This window comes from Homo sapiens, chromosome 21 (assembly GCF_000001405.40).
Source record: "Homo sapiens chromosome 21, GRCh38.p14 Primary Assembly".
Taxonomy (NCBI): Eukaryota; Metazoa; Chordata; class Mammalia; order Primates; family Hominidae; genus Homo; species Homo sapiens.
Genome location: NC_000021.9, coordinates 28883801 through 28911069, shown reverse-complemented (window position 1 = coordinate 28911069; position 27269 = coordinate 28883801). Strand labels below are relative to the sequence as shown.

At 40.3% G+C, this 27269-nt stretch overlaps 1 protein-coding gene and 2 pseudogenes across 4 annotated transcripts in view, besides 4 other annotated features; all 3 read left to right on the top strand.

Annotated features, from left to right (window-relative positions):
- Positions 7302 to 9504, top strand: THUMPD1P1 (THUMP domain containing 1 pseudogene 1; annotated as a pseudogene).
- Positions 21736 to 24084, top strand: HSPD1P7 (heat shock protein family D (Hsp60) member 1 pseudogene 7; annotated as a pseudogene).
- Positions 25286 to 25844: an enhancer, noted in NCBI's record as "OCT4-H3K27ac hESC enhancer chr21:30257548-30258106 (GRCh37/hg19 assembly coordinates)". NCBI's record gives its function as "activates a minimal SCP1, AML or CMV promoter by ChIP-STARR-seq in primed H9 embryonic stem cells {active_cell/tissue: H9 hESC(primed)}" and the evidence as "EXISTENCE:reporter gene assay evidence [ECO:0000049][PMID:30033119]".
- Positions 25286 to 25849: a biological region, named in NCBI's record as "OCT4-H3K27ac hESC enhancer GRCh37_chr21:30257548-30258106".
- HEMK2 (HemK methyltransferase 2, ETF1 glutamine and histone H4 lysine) overlaps positions 25703 to 27269 on the top strand; it is a 309770-nt gene continuing 308203 nt past the window's right edge. For all 4 annotated transcript variants that reach the window (XR_007067787.1, NR_047510.3, NM_182749.5 and 1 more), the window contains exon 1: positions 25703 to 25858. Coding sequence is in view for 2 of the 4 variants with exons in the window: in NM_182749.5 (NP_877426.4) it covers positions 25725 to 25858 (134 nt within the window). In the remaining 2 variants the exon portion in view is untranslated. The remainder of the gene's footprint in view (positions 25859 to 27269) is intronic.
- Positions 25790 to 25849: an enhancer, noted in NCBI's record as "active region_18323". NCBI's record gives its function as "activates an Ori minimal core promoter by ATAC-STARR-seq in GM12878 lymphoblastoid cells {active_cell/tissue: GM12878}" and the evidence as "EXISTENCE:reporter gene assay evidence [ECO:0000049][PMID:35858748]".
- Positions 25845 to 26404: an enhancer, noted in NCBI's record as "OCT4-H3K27ac hESC enhancer chr21:30256988-30257547 (GRCh37/hg19 assembly coordinates)". NCBI's record gives its function as "activates a minimal SCP1, AML or CMV promoter by ChIP-STARR-seq in naive and primed H9 embryonic stem cells {active_cell/tissue: H9 hESC(naive and primed)}" and the evidence as "EXISTENCE:reporter gene assay evidence [ECO:0000049][PMID:30033119]".

Here is a 27269-nt window from a genome sequence, read left to right as displayed (position 1 = left end):
CAAATGAAAGAAAATGTGCATTATAATCACTCTCTACAAAAACATGGTGACCAAACTACCTTTCCAGAAGCTTGACTTGAAAATTTAGTATTTACTGAGAACAAGAGAGATGAACACCTGAACAGGCTGGAAAACATATGGGGATAAATGCCTGAGTTCACAGCAAAATGTCTGGCAAGAGAAAGAATGTTAGTGTGAAATATACAGAAATTTTGGTTATAAATTTTCCCACCAAAGTTTCACTTCAAAAAACAAACAGTGCAGACTAGTTGTTGTGTCAGAATGGAAAAAGAGTGTACCTTAGGAACTAGTTCAGGAGGATATTTTAGTTCTCTTGCTTTGTTTTTTTCAATCAATCATGTGACTAGTTTGTGTATTTCCTTTCCTTGGGGAAATATGCTAACTCCGATCCAATGTTTTTTAAAAGCTCTTTCATCGTGTGCAAAATATCTTTGGTTAGTGAATTTACAAAATGTTCTTAACCTCAGAGAAAATAAATAAGTTAGAGAAAATTAAAATAAGTCCAAATCATTAAGTACATTTTTTCAAATCCCTCAAGTGTAGGAAGAATGTAGGTGGAACAGAACAACAGTCAGGCTTGGGCCAGAACCTAGAGAAATCTCCAAAGACGTCAAAAATGATTTCACATGAAGAGTTGTGTTCTTTTTTTCTTTAGGACTTCTTCAAAAGCAGAGGAAGGGCTGGAGAAAAACATGAAAAAGAAAAGCTTATCGGAATTCAAGGTTTGGCAAGAATACTTTCCCAAGCCCATCCAGCTTACCATCAATGATAATTCAATTTCAATCAAATCAAAGAGAAGGTGCCATGCTATGTGCTGAGCTTGTGTAGAAATATGAACAAGTCTGTATGCTCACCCTCACAAGCTGTTTAAGATGATGAAGCTGGGTTAAAGATGAACGACAATAACTATAATATTTTATGAGATTATAATATAACAATATTATGGAGAGGATTTTCAAGCCATCTTCTCCCAGAAGTCTAAGTGAGAGGAGCTCTACCTCTCACCTGTTCAAATCCTTCCTATCCCTCAAGGGCAGCGTTAGTCCCACATCTGGTTCAGACTCTCCAAAACTTTCCAGCCCGTTGTTGTTTATATCACAGATGTGAGGCCATTATAAGCACCTCTTGATTTGGGTTATAAAAACAGGAAAAGAGTGTATTTTACTCTGAGGGAGAAGACAGCTTAGTATGCAGAGGCAACAGAACAAAGTGGTCAAGAGAACAGATTTCAGGGCCAGCTGACTTTGCTACAAATCCCAGGATCACCACTGGGGAACACTGGAAAAGTTACTTAAATCTTTCTAAGCCTCAGTTTCCCCATCTTCAAAATGGAAATATTAATAGTTCCTACCTCATGGAATTGTGAGAATCAAATGAGGCAGCAACTGTACTTAAAATACTAGGGGGCAGGTTGGGCGTGGTGGCTCACACCTGTAATCTCAGCACTATGGGAGGCTGAGGTGAGCAGATCACTTGAGGTCAGGAGTTCAAGACCAGCCTGGCCAATATGGTGAAACCCCATCTCTACTAAAAATACAAAAATTATCTGGGTGTGGTGGTGCACACTTGTAATCCCAGTTACTCAGGTGGCTGAGGCAGGAGAATCACTTGAACCTGGGAGGCGGAGGTTGCAGTGAGCTGTGGTCGCACCACTGCACTCCAGCCTGGGCAACAGAGCGAGGCTCTGTCTAAAAAAATAAAAAATAAAAAACACTAGGGGGCACAGTCAACCACTGTGGCACAAGCCTGTAATCCCACTTACTTGGAAGGCCAAGGCGGGAAGATCAGCTTAGCCCAGGAGTTCGAGTCCAACCTGAGCAACACAGCAAGACCCCATCTCTAAAGAAAAAATGAGGTGGGGGGAATAAATATTAGACATATAAATGTTTGTTGGTTATGACTAATGTTCATCTATGCATTCCACAAATGTTCCTTGGGTGCCTTTTCTCTGCAAGATGCTGTTCTAGGCACTAGATCCTAACAGTGGGTAAAACAGACAAAGTTCCAGACCTCATGGAGTCTCCATTCATATGTCAACCAGAAAACAAGCTCTATGGGGAAAGACAGCATATAAAATATCATTTTGTATTTCCTATGGTGCTTTACACAAAATAGACAACAAGAGTCTGTGAAGGAATTCTAAGTGGAAGAAGGAAGACGTGCTTGGAAAATCTTGCACTCCTGCACAAAGAAAAAAATTATGTGAACAAACCATCTGTATTCTATGAAGGTCTTCTAGAATCTAGTCCTTTAATATTTCATAAAATTCAACTCCTTGGTAATTTAAAATAGGATGGATTACACAAAATTTCCACTGCACCGCGCCACACTTTGCTCGCGTGGCGGAGAAGTGCATGGCATGAAAAATATTTCTGGACTATGATGCTCAGCCAGGTGAGCTCAGGTTACTTGTGTTTCATGGCCTTTCAGTCTGGAGCTTGATTGCCAGTTGGAAGCCTTGGATTGGCTCCTTGATCTTAGAGCTACAGGAGGTTAGCCATGTGGCCAGGGTGACTGCGGGAGGCCAGGGAGGCTCAGGGGTGCCTGGCTAAAGAGTTTCACTTCTTTAAGACTTGGGTTACTATTAAAACACATTCCTCAAATGCCAGGCATGGTGGCTCACACCTGTAATCCCAGCACTTCAGGAGGCTGAGGTGGGCGGATCACCTGAGGTCGAGAGTTCAAGACCAGCCTGACCAACATGGAGAAACACCATCTCTACTAAAAATACAAAATTAGCCAGGCTTGGTGGCACATCCCTGTAATCCCACCTACTCGGGAGGCTGAGGCAGGAGAATCGCTTGAACCTGGGAGGCAGGAGTTGTGGTGAGCCAAGATTGCACCATTGCACTCCAGCCTGGGCAACAAGAGCGAAACTTCGTCTCAACAACAACAACAACAAACAAAAACACATTCCTCTAGGACAGTTAGTAATTTGTGCTATTAACAGTTATTCAGTCTTCACAGAAATAAGGACCAGATATATTCTCTTTTTTTAAAAAAAAAAAGAACTTTGGCCAGGCACGGTGGTTCACGCCTGCAATCCCAGCACTTTGGGAGGCCAAGACGGGTGGATCACTTGAGGTCAGGAGTTTGAGACCAGCCTGACTAACATAGTGAAACCCTGCCTCTAGTTTAAAAAAAAAAAAATTAGCCAGGTGTTGTGGCACATGCCTATAGTCCCAGCTACCCAGGAGGCTGAGACAGGAGAATAGCTTGAACCCAGGAGGCTGAGGTTGCAGTGAGCTGAGATCGCACCACTGCTCTCTAGCCTGGGCGACAGAGTGAGACTCCATCTCAAAAAATAAATAAATAAATAAATAAATTCAGCCTAATAATAAAAATAGTTTCCCTTGTTCATTGTAGGCAACTGGAAGCTATAACTTTACCTACATCCATAGTCTTAAGAGCAAGTTTTTAGAATTGTAGAATAACTTAGAGGTAGCTTGAAAAAACACTGGCCTAGGAAGTCAAGAGATCTGAGTTCTAGTTTTGACTAAGTAAGCTGACTGAACTTAAACAACGGAAATAATTCTCAAGCCCCAGTTCCCACATCTGTAAAATGAGAGTTCTTAGGTGTCCCTTCCATTGTTTTTTTAAGTACTTATGAAATAATTATCCATCATATACCCACCTCTTTCATACAATGTTTAGAACAACGACTTTGTACGATAGTGTCTTAGTCTGTTTTGTTCTAGTACAACAAAATACCTGAAACTGGGTAATTTATAAAGAAGAGAATTTTATTTTCTCACAGTTCTAGGGACTGGGAATCCAAGATCAAGGCACCAGCATTTGGTGTCTGGCAGGGCTTTTTTGCTGTGTCCTTATATGGGGAACGTTAGACGGTCAAGAGAAACTAACTCCCTCCATCAAGTCCTAGTTTGATGGCATTAATCTATTTATAAAGGCAGAGCCCTCATGACCTAAACACCTCCCAAAGGGACTCACCTTTCAGCACTGTTGCATTTGGGATTAAGTTTTCAATACATGAATTTGGGGGAACACATTCAGACCATAGCAGATAGTTACATTTGACACTGAGGAGATTAAAGCTCAAAGAAGCTCATTTATTTACCCAAGGCCATAGGCTATGGGGCAAAGGTGTGATTTAAGGTTATCTGCCAACTAAATCACATCCTCTTCCTCCCAAAGTACAGCTGCCTTTAATTTGCTAGTATATGAAATAGCTCTGGGTTTGAAAAGAAAGAATGACTCTGACAAAAAAAATCTCATTGCCTACTTGACCCTTCTGCTTAAGATTCACTCTGCTCTGTCACTTAACTATAGGACAATTTTTTTATGTTTACATTTCTGTGGTGAATAGGTTACAAAGTTAAGTCTTACCTAGAGAGGGTATCTGAGTTTCATTGAATGGATATTCAGAAGATTTGCTCTCAAATAAAGGGGATCTTTATCTTCTTTCCACTTGTGTTCCAATGATTGTGAAGAAGTGTAATCAGAAAGTAAGATGGCATGCAGATCTAACTTACCCATAACCAACTCTCAAGGACTGTCAGGCATATCATTCATTATGCCAGTCACACCCTAGCAAAAGGAAGTTGTCCACCCATTCCCCTCAATGAAGGGCAGCCTTCTTAATGAACATCTTTAATTGGATTAGGAGTAAAGGCCTGTCTGTCCCATCACCAGCCAATCCATAAACTAGCAGTTGGGCTAAAATGTGACCTGGCCAATAAGTCTGTGCTCAAACAGGCCAGAATGCCTGTTTCGAGAGCCTGAATTGTGAAATACAGAAAACACAAGCCCTTTGGTGGACAGGGGAGCACAGAGAAGACAACAGATGCATAGTGTCTTCACATTAACATGGGGCACTCAGAGTGAAATTAATGGACTTCTGCTTCTGAGGATCCCAGACTTGTCTTGGGTTCCAAATCACTTCCCCTAGAAATTATTCTATTACAAATCCTGTTCTTGGATTTCTAAGAGATGATCTTTCTCAAATATATATATATGTGTGTGTGTGTGCATTTATCTATACATATATATCATACTGATACATTAAAATTCTTTTAATTGTTGGAACAGGTGACTCTCTATTCTTTAAAACCAAAAGAACTGAATAAAGCTCTGTACAACTATTTTGTTAAACTATATACTGTAATTCTACTCTGTTAAATAACACTGAAATTAGTAGGGATTTGGCACCTGGTCTGTCAGTTCCAAGGCCTGATTTATATATAATTGCTGCATTATACCATCTGAAATTCTTTTTGCTACTGCAATTGGCTCAATCGTACTCATTTAGGTCAGAAGAATTCAGTAGGACTTTCCAGTAAGAGATATCTAGTATGCAACTTACCTCTCAGCTCAAAGACTACCATTTTCTAAGACCAATTCCCTATTCTCTGGGGGGTGAATTTTAAGCATTTGGTTTTAATCCATCTATAACTTCTACACCAGGAAGAAGCTGAAATATTTTAAGTATGATGAAACTCTATGTAAAGATATGTGGTATTGATTATTTATAAAAGCAATGACTGCTCTTCCAGTAGGGCAAACAAGCTTCTTCTCTTTAGAGGCTTCTTTGCTCACCTAATGAAGATTGGCCAATAAAGTTGAGCCAGAGGGTTTCTAACCTCTGACTTAGTCAAGGCACTCAGCCTTGTTGTTTTTGCTTCCATCAACAGTAATGAGTTCTGCATGCCTTAGAAAAGAACAAAGCACTTGGTTATTTCCCAGATTTTCACTCTCAATGTTCCTACCCCATCTAGCTCATCTGATGCCTGGAGGAATCCTTCTTCACATATTTAATTTAATGTTAGCATTTCCTTCATTGGCTCATTAACTGCCCTCTGGTGCAGGTTAACCAATGACCCTAAAAGAGGTCTCCAGTTGCTCTGCAAGGGTGATGAGCAATTCTCACCCTGCACTTCAGCCAACAAAAATGTTGTGCCATTTTACAAGCAGCAGAAGTCCCAGAAGGCCACACAGTTCCGTGGCCTGATATATGCAGAAGAATAATAAAAAATTTTATGGCTCTGGGGAAACCAATCAATCCCAGGAGTGCCCCAAGGCAGGTAAAGCTGGTGTGTCCTCACTCAGCCTCCTGCCTTGACAGCTTTACCTGAGAACACTTAGACTTGCAGTGCATGGTCTGTAAACATAAAAACAGTCCTGGATTTGAGATAAACACATGCACCAGATTCTGGTGCATGTGGTACACTTATACCACAATGATAAGTGTACACGGATTTGTCAGGAAGTGGGGAAACTTTTCAGAGGTTACTATTTCATTAAAACACCGCAAGTGGTCAATACTTACATCAATTAGTAGATGCAGCCCCTAGATGAGTGTGGCAGCCCCTACAAAATAAAGTAAAAAACTGGTGATGGGTTGGGGGAGGGATGATCCAAGTAATTTAAAGAGAAATCCTTCCACTAATAATCATTTATGCCACTTATTTACTTATTGAAATTATAAAGTTTGTGCAAATTTTCTGTTTTTCTTTTTCTTTTCTTTTTTTGGAGACAAAGTCTTGCTCTATCTCCCAGGCTAGAGTGCAGTGGCACCATCTCAGCTCACTGAACCCTTTTGTCTCCTGGGCTCAAGTAATCCTCCTACCTCAGCCTCCCAAGTAGTTGGGATTGCAGGCATGCACTACCACACCCAGCTCATTTTTGCAGTTTTAGTAGAGACAGGGTTTCGCCATGTTGGCCAGGCTGGTCTTGAACTGCTTGCCTCTAGCCTCGCCCATCTCAATCTCCCAAAGTGCTAATATTACAGTTGTAAACCACCACGCCCAGCCTAAATTTTCTTAATATATATTTTTTCATGCTGAGTGTCAAACCATGAGCCTCATGTCCTAGGTGATATTTAGCATTCGCAAAATGGTATGGAGTGCCCAGAAGGCAAATGTTTTGTCTTTTGCCAAATATACATCACTTTGCTTTGCATACATATATACACACGCCTAATATACATATATGTTTTTTTCAACACTGAACTCTAAGGTGGTCGCCACACAAAACATAATTGCTTTCGGATCCTGTTTAGTTTCCTAAGATTTCTTGATCATACAAACATAACTCTGGTCCAGGAAGCTGCACTAGCTAGATGCCTTCATGAAACACTAACAGGATTTCAAAAGAAATTTGTTTCTTCGGAAAGAGAAAGATGTGTCCATGAAGACTCTGTGAGAAGACAAAAAACACTGAAGTGATTCAAAACTACTCATGGTCTGCAGGTAAAAAGGCATATGTATGCCAAATGTTGAAGCCATCATACTTCTTCTATTCACACCCGTAAACCGTGGAGAAGTTCGCCGGGAGGTGAGGACGCCAACTGCAGTGGAGAAACGTTTCTCTTTCCTCTCAGCTTGCACACATCATGGCGGCTGCTGCCCAGCAGCCTCCTCAGCCTGGCGGCGGGAAGCACAGAGGCAAGGCTCAGTATGTGCTGGTCAAGCGAGCTCGGCACTGCGAATCTGGCGGGCCCAGTCAGCCAGAGCCCGGGCTACGGGCATCCTCATCACCTGCAACATGAACCAGCGCCAAGTGTGTGGAGGAGGCTTACACCCTGCTCAACGAATATGGCGATGACATGTATGGGCCAGAAAAGTTTACAGACAAGGATCAGCAGCCCTCTGGAAGTGAGGGAGAAGATGATGATGTGGAGGCTGTCTTGAAGAAAGAAGTTGGTGACATTGAGGCATCTACAGAGATGAGCCTAAGAGGATTCCAGTCAGTGGAAAGTGGAGCAAATAACGTCGCCTTCATCAGGACACTTGGGAAAGAACCTGAGAAACTGGTGCATCATATTCTCCAGGATGAGTACAAAACCAAGAAGACTCAAGTTATTCTACGAATGTTACCCATCTCAGGCACATGCAAAGCTTTTTTAAAAGATATGAAAAAATATGCAGAAACATTTTTGGAACCCTGGTTTAAAGCTCCAAACAAAGGGACATTTCAGATTGTGTACAAATCTTGAAATAGCAGTCATGAGAGGTGAAGCCAGCTGGACTTCCTGGTGGAGTGGGGACTTGGAGAACTGTTCTGTCTTATAAGGGGATTGTAAAATGCACCAATCAGCGCTCTGTAGCTAGCAAGAGGTTTGTAAAATGCACCAATCAGCACTCTGTAAAAATGCATCAATCAGTGCTCTGTAGCTAGCATGAGGTTTGTAAAATGGACCAATCAGAGCTCTGTAAAATGGACCAATCAGCCTCTGTAAAATGGACAAATCAGCAGGATTCTAAAAGTAACCAATCACAGGGAGGATTGAGAAAAGGGCATTCTGATAGGGCAGAAATAGGACATGGGCGGGGACAAATAAGGGAATAAAAGCTGGCCACCCCCAACCAGCAGCGGCAACCTGCTTGGTACCCTTACATGCTGTGGAAGCTTTGTTCTTTTGCACTTCACAACAAATCTTGCTGCTGCTCACTCTTTGGGTCTGTGCCACCTTTAAGGGCTGTAACACTTACCGCGAAGGTCCACGTCTTCATTCTTTAAGTCAGTGAGACTATGAACCCACTGAAAGGAACCAACTGCGGACACAGTCACATGAATAGAGAAGTTATCAAAAAATTGGCAGGAATAGTGTGCACCCTCAATTCAGAAAGTAAAGTGGCTCTCAGCAATCCACAGTACACGGTGATAGTAGAAATTATGTTGCCTGAGTGTCCTGAAAGATTACATGTAGTTTAGAAAATAGTTTCCGACTGGGCGTGGAGGCTCATGCCTGTAATCCCAGCACTTCGGGAGGCCAAGGAGGCAGGCAGATCATGAGGCCAAGAGATCAAGACCATCCTGGGCAACAGGGTGAAACCCCATCTCCACTAAAAATACAAAAATTAGCTGGAGGTGGTGGTGTGGGCCTGTAGTTCCACCTCTTCAGGAGGAGGCTGAGGCAGGAGAATCGCTTGAACCCGGAGGCGGAGGTTGCAGTGAGCTGAGATGGCGAGATGGTGCCATTGCACTCCAGCCTGGCAACAGAGCATTAGGAAAAAAAAAAAGGAAAAAAAAAAATTCAATCTCCAGGAGGTGATAAAGAGCTCTAAGGGTCCATCACAGCTTAATTCAAAGCAGAGAAATGGGAAGGAAGGTAAACTGGAAGCTGCTGACAAATCAGATCAAAACAATACAGCAGAAGGGAAAAATAACCAGCAGGTACCAGAGAATACTGAAGAGCTAGGGCGGAAAAGAACGTCTAATCCGCAGGTGATAAATGAGGGAGGAGCCAAACCTGAACTTGCAAGTCAAGCCACAGAAGGGTCCAAATCAAATGAAAATGATCTGTCATAGGAGGCCATTTCGTGCTGGAGGTGGGTTTCTCAACTGGGTCTCTATGAGATGTTGCTGGGGTTCCACCTTAAATTGTGACTAAAAACAGTTTTTTATTTGTGTGCTGCATTATGCTATTCTCGCAGTAGTGAACAATGATTGCACAGCCCTGTTAATCATTTTGTTAGGGAACTTTCAGCCCTTATGGTATTATGTAGAGGCAGACCCATGTGCCACACTATTGCAAAGAGGGGAGGATGGGAGGAGAGGGGGACGTTGGCCTCTCCCAGGCTCCTCTTATGTGGTGCCAGCTGACTTACTGTAGTGAACTGACTGTAAAGTAGGAAATCAGAGGGGAGTTTTCATTTGAAGGAAGGAGGTTTACATGCCACAGCTCAGCTGTCCCCCTGCCACTTTGTTGTAAACATTGCAAAAGTGTGGATCATGTAGGTTAGAATTGAATTGTTTGGTGAAGTTTTTGTACTTTGTGATTTTCTTGTTTGGTTATGTCTGTGTGTATATATACATATATATATATATATTTTTTCTTTTCTTTTCTTTTTTTTCTTGAGACAGAGTCTCGCTCTGTCACTCAGGCTGGAGTGCAGTGGCACGATCTCGGCTCACTGCAAGCTCCGCCTCCCGGGTTCACGCCATTCTCCTGCCTCAGCCTCCCGAGTAGCTGGGACTACAGGCGCCCGCCACCGCGCCCGGCTAATTTTTTGCTTTTTTTTTTTAGTAGAGACGGGGTTTCACCGTGTTGGCTAGGATGGTCTCGATCTGACCTCGTGATCCACCTGCCTCGGCCTCCCAAAGTGCTGGGATTACAGGCGTGAGCCACCACGCCTGGCCTGTTTTTATATTATATTAACATTTGTGTGTAACAAAGCTGACAGTTCAGTGCTGCAATTTTGGAAGGTAAGATGTGAGAAAGAAGAGAGGCATTTTAGGCACAGAGCTACAGACATTTCTGAAAAGGTTGGTGATGAAGAATTTTGGTCTTCTGAGTATACTTCAGTATTCTAGTACAACAAGGGACACAAAGAGATTCTGTCTTTATAATGAAAGCTGCTCCTTAAGGGTTTAATATGGACTCAGTCCAAGCTGTCCTGTCCCACTGTGCATTGTCTGTGGCATGCAACTTACAAAACTAAAAATTGTAACTATAAATCACAGGCACTTGACAAGAAAGGATATTCATTATCTTCAGTTGGCTTTTGGACCATCAAAACAGTACGGCTTCTGTTCAAAAATCACGTTTAGTCAAAATGTTTTGAAAGCAAATTATTTACTAGCAGAACTTATCTCAGGAAAGAAAAATATGCATAGTTGATGAGAATCTAATAACATTAAAATGCTGGGGCAGGATGCAGTACAAAATTGAAAAGACTTTATTCTCAGTAAGTTGATTTACTGATGATATCTCATACGATGCTACAAAGGTTTTGTGTCATTAACTGAAGAGCAGCAACTTCAGGCCGGGTGCAGTGGCTCACGCCTGTAATCCCAGCAATTTGGGAGGCCGAGGCAGGAGGATCACAAGGTCAAGAGATGGAGACCATCCTGGCCAACATGGTGAAACCCTGTCTCTACTAAAAATACAAAAATTAGCTGGGCGTGGTGGCGTGTGCCTGTAGTCGCACCTACTCGGGAGGCTGAGGCAGGAGAACTGCTTGAACCCAGGAGGCGGAGGTTGCAGTGAGCTGAGATACGCCACTGTGCTCCAGCCTGATGACAGAGCAAGACTCCGTCTCAAAAAAAGAGAAAAGCAGCAGCTTCTCTATCCAGGATGATGAGTCAACGGGTTTCACTAATATTTGTCATGCTGTAGCATTTGTAAGATTTGTAAGTGATGAAATTCAAAGAAAACTTTTTCTATTGCTAGGAGCCTGCCAAAACAAAGGCCAATATACAATGTTGTGATATCATATCTGATAACCAGAGGTCTGTTATCTACACTCCTGGTGCCCCATCAGTGGTTGTCTCCATAAGTCATTTTGCATCATTAAAAAAAAGAAGAAAGAAATCCTGATGTTGACGCTATAGCACACTGCTTTCTTCACAGAGATGCTGATATCAAAAACTTGAAGATACAATGACATTCTGAATAATGCTACAAAACTGGTTACCTGTATCAAAGACCCATTTATGCAAAAATGTTAAAAAAATAAAAACACCCAAAACAAAAACCTGGACAAACAGCGCATAAACCTCCTGTACCATACAGATATCCAGTGGCTTTTCAGAGGAAGAGTTCTCTACAGGACTTTTGAGTTGAAAGGTGAATTGCCAGAGTACTTACAAGAAAATAGCCAGCTTTTGCTGAATGCTTTGGAAATGAAAAATAGCTACAGAAACTAGCCGATTTAGCAGACGATTTTCATCACATGAACAAATGAACAAGTCTCTGAAAGGTCCTGGAGAAAATTTTTTTTCTTAAAGTGACAAGAGTCTTAGATCAAAAAGGAAACTGATTTGCTACCTTGCCAGGGGAATTATTGAAATGTTTCTGCAGCCACTTGGACTTGAAAATGAAGAGTACAACTCTCAAATCTTGCTATAACCCACCTGGAGGAACCACAAAACACAATTAAGTAGTATTTTCTCTCCTTTTCCCAGCACTAGTATATGACTGTATGGGGAACCCTTTCTCCAAATCTGCTCAGCTTGAAATTTTGTCTCTGAAGGAAGAGAATGAACTCAGCCCTAGTCTGACAGTCCTACATTTCTGTGAAATAAGAGTATTCTTCAACTTAGTGCTCACACTCACACACCATGAGGGTTCCCTGCAGGGGTTTCCTGAATTTGAAAGTTTTTTCAAGGCCTATTTTTGGGTAAAATAATTGAAAAAGGCAGACACCAACAAAGTCTGCAAAGTAAACCATCCAGATTAAGAATATTAAGGAGCTGTAAAGTTAGCTTGTGGAAATGGGCTTATCCTTAAGTTTTAAAAAGTTAGGAAGTAGTAAAAACGTTAGGCTTCCTGCACAAGTGGCTATGTTTATTTAATGGCTAGTGAACACGGGAACATATTTCTATCCTCTTAGCTAGTGGTTCTGTTTGGTAAACCAGACTAGAATGATTTGAGAGGGGCAAAGAGAATAGGCAGGACCTTCCTTCTATAGCTTTACATATTTAGAATATTAATTCTTAATGGCGTTGAAGTTACCTTGAAAGGATTGATAAGAGGTTTATTAATATTATTTAGGGGAATAGGGAGGATAGAATTTTGGTGCCTTCTTTAGCAGACTTGCTCCAAGACAAAGATTCTTTTATTTTGATAGTGCAAGACAAAAGGACTCGGAAAAGAATTGACCATATGCCTACAGAACATACAATTCTGTGGAACGAAGTTGTTTTTACTTTGTGAAGGCTGCCACTCTACGGAAATATTTTGATTTTATAATTTGCTTTTAATTGCCTTTTATCTCTATTTGTATTTGGTAAGGCTTGGTTGTTATACAAGCTGTTCTTTCCCAGCTACAAAATCCTGCGTTCGGTTGTAACCTGAACTCATTAAAAGATTTTTCAGGTTTATCAACTGTTTATTTTCACTGATATTTGAGCATGTTATTTTATAAATAATGAGATTCCAGGGTAGGAGGTAAGTGCTTTTTATTCCCCTTTAGTTTTTTCTTCTAAAAAATTATGTCAGTTAAAAAAAAAAACCTGCAGTCTTGTGGTTTAGAAAACTTGTTTAAATCTGTAGAGAAAAGAATGTTAAACTTTGTATTTTAAAACATGTTTCTCTAAGGTTAAACATGGTTTTCAAATGTTATTTTTACTTGTACTTTGCTTTTGGTACAGCCAAATATCAACCTTGTTTTTCATAGTTCCTGATATTTTCAGAAAAATCAAAATAAATTTGTTCCCCCCCCAAAAAAAATTAGTTTGCCAATGGTCTAGGAAGCTCTAACCTAATCATTCTATTGGTAGCATATTCTATTCCTAACCAGACACACATGTGTTAATGAAGCCACAAGGTTTAGGTCTTTCCTAATGTCTTCAACTGGGTGATTTTCATCCCAGCAAGCTGCCTCCTCTTTTTAATTCTGTGTCTTCCCTGTAAGTATTCCTACACTAAAAGGAAAAAATATGTTTTTCATTTTACCAAAAAAAATTACCTAAATTAAGGTTTTTATAGTAACAATGTCTTCATAGGTATGGACTACTTTTCCTTCCTTTAAAAAAAAAAGCAACAAAACATCCACAAAGGTCACTTTCACCCACCACAGAAAACCCTACCTCCCGCCATCCAAAAATGCCACCTTTGAGCTGCCAACAGGATTTCTCACTATTCCTTAGGCATTCGTCCAGATATTTTTTTCAAAGTCTGACTTAACTCACCACAATTTAATTTGAGATTTGTAGAGGTCAGACTCTGGCAAAATATGACTACAAAAAATGGAGATGCTAGTTTTAAACTGCATAAATATATATAAAATCCATTAACTCTCTCAACTGCAGCAGTCTAATGATTAATCAATAATCTATCAATTGACATAAGTAACCTACATTATATTAATTACATCATTACATAGAATTCATCTGTTTAGAGCAACTGTCCAATAGAAATAAAATATGACTTATATATGTAATTTAAGCTTTCCTGTAACAGCATTCATAAAGTTAAAACAAGTTAAAATTAAAATTAGTAATATATTTTATTTAACCCAATATATCCAAACTAGTATCATTTCAACATGTGATCAATATTTTAAAATTATTGCCAGGTGCAGTGGCTCACACCTGTAATTCCAGCACTTTGGGAGGCTGAGGCAGGTGGATCACTTGAGGTCAGGAGTTTGTATCAGCCTGGGCAACATAGTGAAACCCTGTCTCTACTAAAAACACAAAAATTAGCCAGGCATGGTGGCGCGTGCCTGTAGTCCCAGCTACTTTTGGGAGACTGAGGCAGGAGAATTACTTAAACCCAGGAGGAGGTTGCAGTGAGCTGACATTGTGTCACTGCACTCCAGCCTGGATGACAGAACAAGATTGTCTCAAAAACGAAACAAAACAAAAATTATCAAGGTATTTTGCACTCTTCTTTACAAAATCCACAGTGTATCTTAGACTTCCTGCACATCCCATTACATTCTAGATACATTTCCAGGGCACAGTAGCTCCAGGTGGGGTGGACAGTGCAGGTCTAGAGGGTGCTGGGTTAAAGGGTTGGACAAACACCACGTGAACACTACCAGTTCTCCCAGTCTTCAGTGTGCCCATAGATGTCAGAAGGTTAAATTAGTCTCATATTCATTTAGGTTTGTCTCTTTAGAGAATTTGACAACTAGTGTGTAAAGTTTAAATTGCTTTTAAGTTGGTATTAGTTGCACCATGTTAAGAAAATAAAATCAGTGTTGATTTGCTGTATTCTTCTCCTATTGCTACTATAACAGATTATCACAAATTTATTGCCTTAAAACAACACATATTTATTATTTTACAGTTCAGGAGATCAGAAGTCTAAAACAGGTTGGCATGGTTGTGTTCCTTCTGGAGGCTCTTGGGGGATTTCATTTCCTTGCCTTTTCCAGCTTCTAGAGGTGGCCTGCTTTCCTTGGCTCAGGGCCCCTTCGTCCATCTTCAAAACAAAACCAGCAGCATATCATCTTCAAATCTCTCTCTCTCTTTCTCTCTCCTCTGCTTGAACATCATATATCCTACTCTTATTTCTGACTCTCTTCCTTCCTCATAGGAGGAGCCTTCTGATGACATTGAACCCACCTGGTTAATCCAAGACAGTCTCCCCACATCAAGATCCTTAACTTAATCATGTGTGCAAACTCCCTTTTGCCATGTAAAGCATCATATTCACAGGTTCTGGGGATTAGGATGTGAATATCTTTGGAGGACCACGGCAGACAGAATTGTCTACCACAGTGAAATAGGCTGATATGCTCAACTCAGATCTACAGGTGAGATTTTATCACAACACATCTAGTTATGACATAGCTATGGCAAAAACTAGCTATGCCCTAGATCAGTGGTCCCCAGCCTTTTTAGCACCAAGGACCAGTTTCGTGAAAGACAATTTTTCCATGGCCAGGAGGCAGAGGGGATAGTTTCAGGATAAAACTGTTCCACCTCAAATCATCAGGCATTAATTAAAATCTCATAAGAAGCACACCGCCTACATCCCTCACATGCGCAGTTCACCATAGGATTTGTGCTCTTATGAGAATCTAACACCGCCGCTGATCTCACAGGAGGCGGAGATCAGGCAGTAATGCTCATTTACCTGCCACTCACCTCCTGCTGTGCAGCCCAGTTACGAACAGGCCACAGACTAATACCAGTCCGTGGTCCAGGGGTTCGGGACCCCTGTCCTGGGTGACTATTTGTTTCAATCAGTATTTCATAAAAATAAAAATGTAATGTAATAAATATTAGATGCATGCTTGGCATTTGTGTTTAATAAGTGAATGTGGTGGTTTCTAGAATTTAAATATATAGGCTTAGAGAAAGTCAAGATAGTAGGTATATGAGTTGAATCTGGAAAGAAAGACTCTTCAGCTGTGTATTACCTATTTTTTAAGCTGCTGTTCCAAATTTGCCAGGAAAAATCTTCACCTTCACACTCAAGTAATTAGTACCACATTTAGCATGGAGTATACTTTGTCACAAGAATGTGATAAAATTCTTTTATAAGAATTTACTCTGCTAAATACATGTGATGAAGTAAAAAACATCTTAAATCAACAAATATTTAATAAGAATATTATGAGGAAGGCACAGTGCCCAGTATAAAATATACCATAACTTAAACTATAAATTTAACTTTCTTAAGAACAACGACTACTTTTAAAATTTTCCTTCCTTAGCAAATCAGTGCAAACAAACAAGTAATTTTACTTACAAACTGTTCATGGATTCCACTGGAATACTGCCCTTTAATGCTTTCTCTTCAATTTAATCTTATTTGGAGGTTCCATTTACACACTGAAAGAGAAAATTGAGGCAACAATTCCAATTTTAAAACATGTGTTCCTGAACTGTCTGGACCAACATCTGAGTTTGCACCATCCCTGTGTGCTCAGGCTCCAAGTCTCTTGTCCTTGGGGGATGGACAGATACACCTTGACTTGTGATGGGGTTATGTCACAATAAACTAATCATAAATGGAAAATATCTTAAGTTTAAAATGCATTTAATACACCGAATCTACAGAATATTGTAGCTTAGCCTAACCTTCTTTTTTTTTTCTTCTTTTTTTTTTTGAGACGGAGTCCCGCTCTTTAGCCCAGGCTGGAGTGCAGTGGCACACAATCTCGGCTCACTGCAAGCTCCGCCTCCCAGGTTCACGCCATTCTCCTGCCTCAGCCTCCCGAGTAGCTGGGACTACAGGCGCCCACCACCGTGCCCGGCTAATTTTTTGTATTTTTAGTAGAGACGGGGTTTCACCGTGTTAGCCAAGATGGTCTCGATCCCCTGACCTTGTGATCCACCCGCCTCGGCCTCCCAAAGTGCTGGGATTACAGGCGTGAGCCACCGCGCCCAGCCAGCCTAACCTTCTTGAAACATGCTCAGAATACTTACATTAGCCTACAGATGGGCAACATCATCTAACAACAAAGCCTATTTTATAAAGTGTGGAATATCTCATGTAATTTTTTGAATACTATACTGAAAGTAAAAACCAGGATGACTGTATGGATGCTCCAATTACAATTTCTACTGAATGCTTTTCACTTTTGCACCATCATAAAGTCAAAAAAGCATTAAGTGGAACCATTGTTAGGTTGGGGACCATTTCTATTCCTCAGCTCATGCTGCAATAACAAAATACCATAGACTGAGTGGCTTAACGACAGACATTTATTTCCACAGTTATGGAGGCTGGAAGTCTTCATGCACCAGCATGGTTGGAGCTAGATCCCTCTTTCTGGCTTGCAGATGTCTGCCTTCTCACTGTGTCCTCATAGTGGCAGAAAGAGACACAGCAAGCTCTCTGATGCCACTTCTTTTAAGAGTATTAATCCCATGGCCTCATGACCTCATCTAAACTTAATTATGTCCCAAAGACCCCATCTCCAAATACTGTGACATTGGGGGTTAAGGCTTCAAAATACGAATTTTACAGGGACGTAATTCAGTCTATAGCATGGAATATGCAGGACCTAGGCAAAAAAGGGCCTCAGGGCGATGGACCTAATCTGGCAAACTGGATCAAACTCAGCCCTTTAGTCATCCTCCAGCTTTCCTGGTGGCTTCTTCCAGATGCCCCAGGCTGTGGGGAGAAGAGTAAATGGGATTGCTGCTGAAAGCTCATTTCTCAGGTTCTCTAAATATGGGTTCAATGTGCAACCCTCAAAGGGAATTTTCTACCCAAAACTGTAGCTTTGCAGCTAAACAATTATGTTCTTGAAATGATGTCTAGGGGACTGAGTTTTCTTAAATAACACCTCTAAGGAGAAACCAAATGCCTAGCTAGCAAGATGACTTTCTTGCCTAATTTTACTTTTTAAAATATTTTTACTTTTCTTGAAATAGAAATAAATAGGGTGAAGTTTTATAAGCCAGGGAAAAGATTCACCTACCAATTCTTGAACTAAATATCACTGAGCTGAAAAGAGAAGTAGATGATGAGTGTGTATATGACAATCACTTTCATGAGAATTCAATTCTAGAAAGACACTAAATTTCATTCATTGTTTGTCTAAAGAGAAAGTGCAAGCATAGAAATTAATGGGCAAGACGGCCAAAAAGTAACTGTTCTAGTGCTTTATTCTGGATAAACGCAGCGTAATTTTGATTCTTGTGAATTTCAATAAAACATGATTTAATACCACAGCAAGGGTGCCATTAAAATGTGGGTATTAACTTTCCAATAATTTCTAGAAATTGAAATGGAATCTATTTGGCAATAACATGACATTTTGACACCAATGAAAATATTTTATGTAGTTATGTAAGCGATAAAAATAAATGCTATAAAAATGTATCCAGAAGGACTTATAACTAGGAAAAACAATCATAATTAACAAGATTTTGTGAAGTGTGCAGCAGCCAAAGACAACTTTAGACCAGCTGAAGGTGATGAGGTCATTTCTGGTCCTAAGTTCATAGAGTCTGACCACCTGTAGAGATTTTTTTTAAAGCACTTAAAAGAATTAATTTTCCAAATATGGAGAAGCTGAGAGAGTCTCCCTCTTTTACATGACTTTCTATTGTGCCAATGTAATGGAATCAAATACACACTTCAGCTTTTTAAGCAGCTGTTCCTATGGTGCAGGAGTAAATGTGTAAACTCTACCAGTACCAGCTGGAAAAAAAGAACATGAATCTATTATTTCCGAATGTATTATGAAGCCTAGATTTTGTTTCCAGGATAGAATGTGTCCAAAGCAACCAAATTAAGAGGAGGGTTGTGAAATTATTCAGTGGATAAGGAACCATGTTGACATTTCAACTGGCTGATACAAACAAAGCTATATGGGCAGGTAACCATGCCTCTTGTTGCATGAACTGTGCAGAGTCCACCACAATATTCAAGAGATTCTTTTTACTATTTTTAACTGAGATCATTACAGCACAAGACTCTTAACCACAGTAACGCCAAAAGAATAAGAAGCAATTTTATCAAGTATATGTCTTTTTCAACTAGAACATTACTGATCTCTAATTTCATAATGTCTACTGAGGATTTCTAAGTCAAATAATAATAACTATGATGATAGTAATAACAATAGAAGATATTTCACTAAAACATGCATATCTTTTGACTCTACTTTTAAATATAATCTTAATAAAATTATATTTCTAAGTATTACCAAATAAGGACAAAAGAAGTTTTAGTGTATCATAGTGTTTTTCAAAATAAAATTTATCTTTCAGAGAAGTTTTAGGTTCACAGCAAAATTGAGTACAAAGTAGAGGGTGTTCCCATCTATACTCTGCACCCCCTGACACACACACATAGCCTCCCCGACTATCAGCCTCATACAAGAGAGTGGTACATTTGTTACAATCAACAAACCTACATTTATACACATTTATGACCCCAAATCCATAGCTTACATTAGAGTTCATTCTTTTTTTTTTTTTTTTTTTTTTTTTTTTTTTTTTTTTGAGACGGAGTCTCGCTCTGTCGCCCAGGCTGGAGTGCAGTGGCGCGATCTCGGCTCACTGCAAGCTCCGCCTCCCGGGTTCACGCCATTTTCCTGCCTCAGCCTCCCGAGTAGCTGGGAATACAGGCGCCCGCTACCACGCCCGGCTAATTTTTTGTATTTTTAGTAGAGACGGGGTTTCACTGTGTTAGCCAGGATGGTCTCGATCTCCTGACCTCGCGATCCGCCCGCCTCGGCCTCCCAAAGTGCTGGGATTACAGGCGTGAGCCACCGCGCCCGGCCCATAGTGTTTTTCAAAATAAAATTTATCTTTCAGAGAAGTTTTAGGTTCACAGCAAAATTGAGTACAAAGTAGAGGGTGTTCCCATCTATACTCTGCACCCCCTGACACACACACATAGCCTCCCCGACTATCAGCCTCATACAAGAGAGTGGTACATTTGTTACAATCAACAAACCTACATTTATACACATTTATGACCCCAAATCCATAGCTTACATTAGAGTTCATTCTTGATGTTGTATATTCTATGGCTTTGGACAAATGTATAATGACATGTATCCACAATTATAGTATCATAAACAATAGTTTCACTGTTCTAAAAAATCCTCTGTGTTCCATCTACTTATCTCTCACTCCTCCTTAACCCCTGGCAAGTACTGTTCTTTTTACTACCTCTATAGTTCTGTGTTTTGCAGAATGTCATATAGTTAGAATCATACAGTATATAGCCTTTTAAGATTGGCTTCTTTCACTTAGCAATATGCATTTAAGTTTTCCCCATGTCTTTTCATGGCTTGATAGTTCATTTCATTTTAGTTTTGAATAATATTCTGTTTTCTGGATGTACCACAGTTTATTTACCCATTCACCTAGAGAAAGACATCTTGATTGCTTCTAAATTTTGGCAATTATGAACAAAGCTGTTATAAATATCAGTGTGCAGGTTTTTGTGTAGACACAGGTTTTCAACTCATTTGAGTAAATACCAAAGAGCACTATTGTTGGAGTGTATGGTAAAAGTATGTTTAGTTTTGTAAGAAATTGCCCAGCTGTCTTCCAAAGTAGCTGTACCATTTTGCATTCCCACCAGCAATGAATGAAAGTTCCTATTGTTGCACATTCTCTTCAGCATTTGTTGTCAGTGTTTTAGATTTTGGCCATTATAATAAGTGTGTAACAGTATCTCATTGTGGCTTTAATTTGCAATTTCCTAATGCCATATCATTTTCAGGATCCTTACACATGCATATTTGCCGTCCACATGTCTTCTTTGGTGAGGTGTCTGTCCGGGTCTTTTCTTTTTGGTGAGGTGTCTGTCCAGGTTGTTCCTTTTCTTATTCTTGAGTTCTAATACTCTGCATATTTTGGATAGCTGTCCTTTATCAGATATGTCTTTTGCAAATATTTTCTCCTACTCTGTATCATAGTGTTTTAAGTGTTGGTCAACCTTGAGGCTTTATAGCAACAAAAAACAATTTGAACAAATTATATGGTTCTAAAGCTTTAGAACCATTCTTGAAGATGCATTTAAAATGATCTATTGGCTGGGTGCAATGGCTCACATCTGTAATGCTAGCACCTTTGGAGGCCAAGACGGGAGAACTGCTTGAGCCCAGGAGTTTGAAATCAGCCTGGGCAACATAGAGAGACTCCATCTCTACAAAAAAATTAAAAATTAACCAGGTGCAGTGGCATGTGCGGTAGTCCCAGCTACTTGAGAAGCTGAGATGGGAGGATTGCTTGAGCCCAGGAGGTCAAGGCTGGAGCGAGCCATGATGGCACCACTGCACTCCAGCCTAGGTGACAGAATGAGACCCTGTCTCAAAAGAAAAAATAAAAATAATGAAAAAAATTATCTATCTTAGATTATTATTTCACTAACTACTGTGAAAGTTGTCAGAATCAAAATGGAGTCACTAATGTTAAAACACACACACACACACACACACACACACACAAACCTGACATACCAAAACCAGACAAGGACACAATAAAAAAAGAAAACTACAAGCCAATATCCTTGATGAACATAGATGCAAAAATCCTCAATGCAATATTAGCAAACTGAGTGCAACAACACATTAAAAAGGTCATTCACCATGATCAAGTGGGATTCATCCCAGGGATACAAGGATGGTTCAGCATGCACAAATCAATAACAAGTGTGATACATCATGTCAACAGAACCAAGAACAAAAGCCATGTAATCATTTCAATAGATGCTGAAAAAGCATTCAATAAAATTCAGTGTTCCTTTATGATAAAAATGTTGAACATGTTGTGGGTAAAAAAATACACGCAAACTGGGTATATATGACAAATCCACAGCTAACATCATACTCAACGAGGAAAAGCTGAAAGCCTTTCCTTTAAGAATTAGAACAAGCCCCCTCACTCATCACCGACAGCCTGCGGTCAGCGTGCGCAAGCCCTGCCACTGCCCCGCAGAAATGATTCAATTACCCACAGTCTTAAGTCAGATGACACCAGTGTCGAGGGTCCTGGCTCCTCATCTCACTCGGGTTTATGCCAAAGATGTACAATTTTTGGTTCAGATGCCTGAGTCTTAATGCTTCAAGGTGTAGACCTTTTACTCACTGCTGTAGCCATTACAATGGGGCCAAAGGGAAAAACAGTGATTACTGAGCAGAACTGGGGAAGTCCCAAAGTAACAAAAGATGGTGTGACTGTTGCAAGGTCCATTGACTTAAAGGATAAATATAAAAATATTGCGGCTAAACTTGTTCAAGATGTTGCCAATAACACAAATGAAGAGGCTGGGGATGGCACTACCACTGCTACTGTTGCCAAGGAAGTCTTCAAGAAGTTTAGCAAAGGTGCTAATCCAGTGGAAATCAAGAGAAGTGTGATGTTAGCTGTTGATGCTGTAATTGCTGAACTTAAAAAGCAGTCTAAACCTGTGACCACCCCTGAAGAAATTGCTCAGGTTGCTACAATTTCTGCAAATGGAGACAAAGAAATTGGCAACCTAATTTCCGATGCAATGAAAAAGGTCAGAAGAAAGGGTTTCACCACAGTAAAGATGGAAAAACGCTACCGATGAATTAGAAATTATTGAAGGCATGAGGCCAGGTGTGGTGGCTCACGCCTATAATCCCAGCACTTTGGGAGGCGGAGGTGGGCGGATCACGAGGTCAGGAGATTGAGACCATCCTGGCTAACACGGTGAAACCCCGTCTCTACTAAAAATACAAAAAATTAGCCGGGTGTGGTGGCATGCACCTGTAGTCCCAGCTACTCAGGAGGCTGAGGCAGGAGAATTGCTTGAACCCAGGAGGTGGAGGTTGCAGTGAGCCGAGATTGTGCCACTGCACTCCAGCCTGGGTGACAGAGTGAGACTCCATCTAAAAAAAAAGAAAAAAAAAAAAGAAATTATTGAAGGCATGAAAGTTTGAGGATATATTTCTCCATACTTTATTAATACATCAAAAGGTCGGAAATGTGAATTCCAAGAAAATTTCTAGTGTCCAGTCCATTGTACCTGATCTTGAAATTGCCAATGCTCACCGTAAGCTTTTGGTCATAATTGCTGAAAATGTTGATGGAGAAACTCTAAGTACACTCATTTTGAATAGGCGAAAACTTGGTCTTCAGGTTGTAGCAGTCAAAGCTCCAGGGTTTGGTGACAATAGAAAGAACCACCTTAAAGGTATGACAATTGCTACTGGTGGTGCAGTGTTTGGAGAAGAGGAGTTGACCTCAAATCTTGAAGATGTTCAGCCTCATGACTTAGGAGAAGTTGGAGAGGTCACTGTGATCAAAGATGATGCTATGCTCTTAAAAGGAAAAGGTGACAAGGCTCAAATTTAAAAACGTATTCAAGAAATCATTGAGCAGTTGGATGTCACAACTAGTGAATATGAAAAGGAAAAACTGAATGAACAGCTGGCAAAACTTTCAGATGGAGTAGCTGTGCTGAAGGTTAGTGGGACAAGTCACGTTGAAGTGAATGAAAAGAAAAACAGAGTTACAGATGCCCTTAATGCTACAAGAGCTGCTGTTGAAGAAGGCATTGTTCTGGGAGGGGGTTGTACCCTACTTCGATGAATTGGTGCCTTGGACTCATTGACTCCAGCTAATGAAGATCAAAAAATTGGTACAGAAACTATTAAGAAAACACTCAAAATTCCTGCAATGACTATTGCTAAAAATGCGGGTGTTGAAGGATCTTTGATAGTCCAGAAAATTATGCAGTTCCTGAGAAGCTGGTTGTGATGCCACGGTCAGATTTTGTGAATATGGTGGAAAAAAGGAATTATTGACAAAACAAAGGTTGTGAGAAGTGCTTTACTGGATGCTGCTGGGGTGGCCTGTTAACTACAGCAGAAGTTGTAGTCAAAGAAATTCCTAAAAAAAGAGAAGGACCCTGTATTGGGTGCAATGGGTGGAACGGGAGGTGTTATGGGAAATGGCAAGTTCTAATGATTAGAATAGCGTTTTACTTTAATTAATGAACTGTGGCAGGAAGCCCAAGGCAGTATTCCTCACCAATAACTTCAGAGAAGTCAGCTGGAGAAAACGACTGAAGAAAAGGCTAGCAGATGTTTAGGAAATCACTATAACAATCAGTTACTGGTTTCAAGTGACAAAATATATAATGTTTTACTGCTGTCACTGTCCATGCCTACAGATAATTTATTTTGTATTTTTGGATAAAAAGACATTTGTATATTCCTAATACTGGGTGCGAGAGCACCTATGGTTCCAGTTCCAGCTACTCAGGAGGCTGAGGGAGGAGGATCGCTTGAACCCAGGAGATCAAGTACAACTCTTTCTATATATATATATTTTTCATATTTTTACATAATAAAATTCTATATGGCAGTTAAGAGGAGTAACCTAACCATATATCAAAACATAAATCTCATATAATGTTGACTGAAAAAGAAATTTGAAAAATATGTCCAACCTAGTACCAGTTATGTAAATTTTAAAATACACCGTATGTTGCTTATAAAGATATGAATGTTTATAAACGTATAAATACAAGATCCATGTTTTTACATGGATTAGATGGACATACACTAAATCCATAAGAGCCTTGGAGAGAATGTTACACAATTAAACTGAAGGCAAATAGAGAAAGAACATCCATCTTATTTGTAATATTTTAGTTCTTGTATTTAAAAAATATTTTAAGGAAACATGAGAAAATACTGTCATTTCTGGGTTTAAAACTTGGGGTTTTGAAATTTGTAACCCAGCCGGGTGCGTTAAAGGCTCACACCTGTAATCTCAGCACTTTGAGAGCCCAAGGCGGGTGGATCACCTGAAGTCAGCAGTTTGAGACCAGCCTGGCCAACATGGGGAAAATCCGTCTCTACTAAAAATACAAAAATTAGGCAGCCGTGGCTGCAGGCGCCTGTAATCCCAGCTACTCCGGAGGCTGAGGCAGGAGAACCGCTTGAACCTGGGAGGCAGAGGTTGCAGTGAGCCTAGCTCGCGCCACTGCACTCCAGCCTGGGGGATACAGCGAGACTCTGTCTCCAAAAAAAAAAAATACATAAGTAGAAATAAAATAAAATAAAATTTGTACCTCAAATACTTTTCTGTATTTTTATTTCTCAAATTTAAAAAACGAGCTGTAAAAATGTTTCATTGCGAAACAAATTTCAGAAATTGACTCAAAAAGAATGCAAATACTTGAATAGTCTAATAACTTACAGATGTTCCAAAACATCAAAGATCCATTCACTCAAAAAGGCACCAAGCCCAGCCAGTTTTAAGGCTTTCTACCTAATGTTCCAGAAACAGTGTCCTAACTCACATAACGAGGGTAGCGTAATCTTGGTAAAAAAAAACGGAGCCAGATTATTAGCCTCCCCAATTCAGCAGTGTATTAAACCGCATCATCTTGCTTAAGGTTTATAAAAAGAGTGCATTCATGATTCATCAGGAAGGCAATTTATAAAGTACAGTAAAAAAACGAGGAAAGTCTTCATCTTTATAGCGTAAAGCTTAAAGTTCAGCTGACAAAAAAACAGTAAAATTTATTATGTATTTTTTCAAATCCTTGCAAACTAGGAATAAAACAGAATTTCCAAATATCATTAGAATGAAGAAAGAACATTCACCTTAGTCAAAAACAACTCAGAATGCCCACTATCAGGTTCTAGTTCACAGAATAAAATTTAAATGTTCCAAAGAAGAAAGCAAATGTCAATAGTCACGGATTATACAACTGTCTACTTAGCAATTTCAAGGAGAGCCACTGACAAATTTAGAATTAAGACCCAACAACAACACACTGGTCGCCCGGGACGCCAGCCCCACTCCTAGGCCTGCGCATGAGGGTGAGGGCATGCGCATGCGCATGCGCACGCCCTGCGCACGCGCATGGAACGCAGCGAAGGACTATGGCAGGGGAGAACTTCGCTACGCCGTTCCACGGGCACGTGGGCCGCGGCGCCTTCAGCGACGTGTACGAGCCCGCGGAGGACACGTTTCTGCTTTTGGACGCGCTGGAGGCAGCGGCTGCCGAACTGGCAGGGTGCGAGGAGGGGAGGGGCTCTGACGGGAAAGGGTTGCGGCTTTCTGAAGAAGTGCGGTGGAGGAGGGCCGGAACGGTGACTATCACCGCCCTGAGCCGGAGCAGGCGGGGTCCACTTGCAGATGATTGACAGCCAGGACGCCGTAATTGAGAATTTTCCTGTAGCTACAAGTAATGAGTGTGCCGGGGACGCATCTCCTTTGCCAGGGGGCTGCTCTGTCTCATGAGCTCCCTGACTGCTTACCATGCAAAGGCGTATCTTTTCCTGTCGCCTGTTAATCTGAAGAACACATGTCCCTGAGAGAAGCGATAGTATAACACGTTTGGAAACAAAATATTCCGGAAACATTGCTTATTAATATTTTTAAAGTATTACATATTAAAATTGCATGGTATTATTTGATTTACTCAGCACATAGAAAGCACCCTTAACAAACATGAAAGAAAGTTGTGTTACTGGAGTGGGGAAATATTTTTAAACCCACTGAATAGCATACTCTAGCACCAGCCAGTCCTCACATGTGGCTACAGAGCGCTTGAAATGTGGCTAGTGCTATTGAGGAACTGAATTTTTCATTTAATTGTTACCAAAAAAAAGTTACATGCAGCTAGCAGACAATAGTCTACCCTAGCACTTTATTTAAATGGATTTATTGAAGTGATCGCCATCAATTTTAAATTAATAGCAGAAGGAATGAATACTGACATTGTGATTTTTAAATGTAAGGAATTTGGGTTGTTAGATTTGTTTGAAGATAAGATGAACTGGGTTTTCTCAGGATGGAACAAACAGCTTTCAGGTTTCAAAGATCTATATTGTATTTATTTATCCCTCTTAAACTTGGTCATATTTCTCCAGTATAAAATGTCCCAGCTCTTATTAAACTAGTCTTTCATTGTAGATGATGGAACTTTTGGATCTACTGGAATATACAGTGGAACAGTACTGTTTTATAACTTGTCTTTTCTTCTCAAGATAGCCCAGAAAGATTTACAAGCACAAATTGCACTGCAAAGTATGCTGTAAAAGGAGCTGATTTTGTTATAAAGTCTTGGGTTATTTCTAGTTTGGAATTCTAATTATTTATGAGACCATGATAGTTATTTTCAAAGAGAAGCCACCTGGTGAGATTCTCAGACCTTACTACCACCTAATAAAGACTTGTCAGATGTGTAGACTGGTTCCAAAAGTTTAAAACCTCTGGAGCTTGTCACTGGGTAGTTGTTTTGGGAGTTCAGTGCTAAAAATTTCCCTAAATGCCATCAAGCTGATCTTTTTAATGGGGATGATTTATGCTTTTGATGCATGTATAACATTATAGAGGGCTGGCACTGTGGTTCGTGCCTATAGTCCTAACTACTTGGGAGGCTGAGGTGGGAGGATCACTTGAGCAAGCCCAGGAGTTAAAGG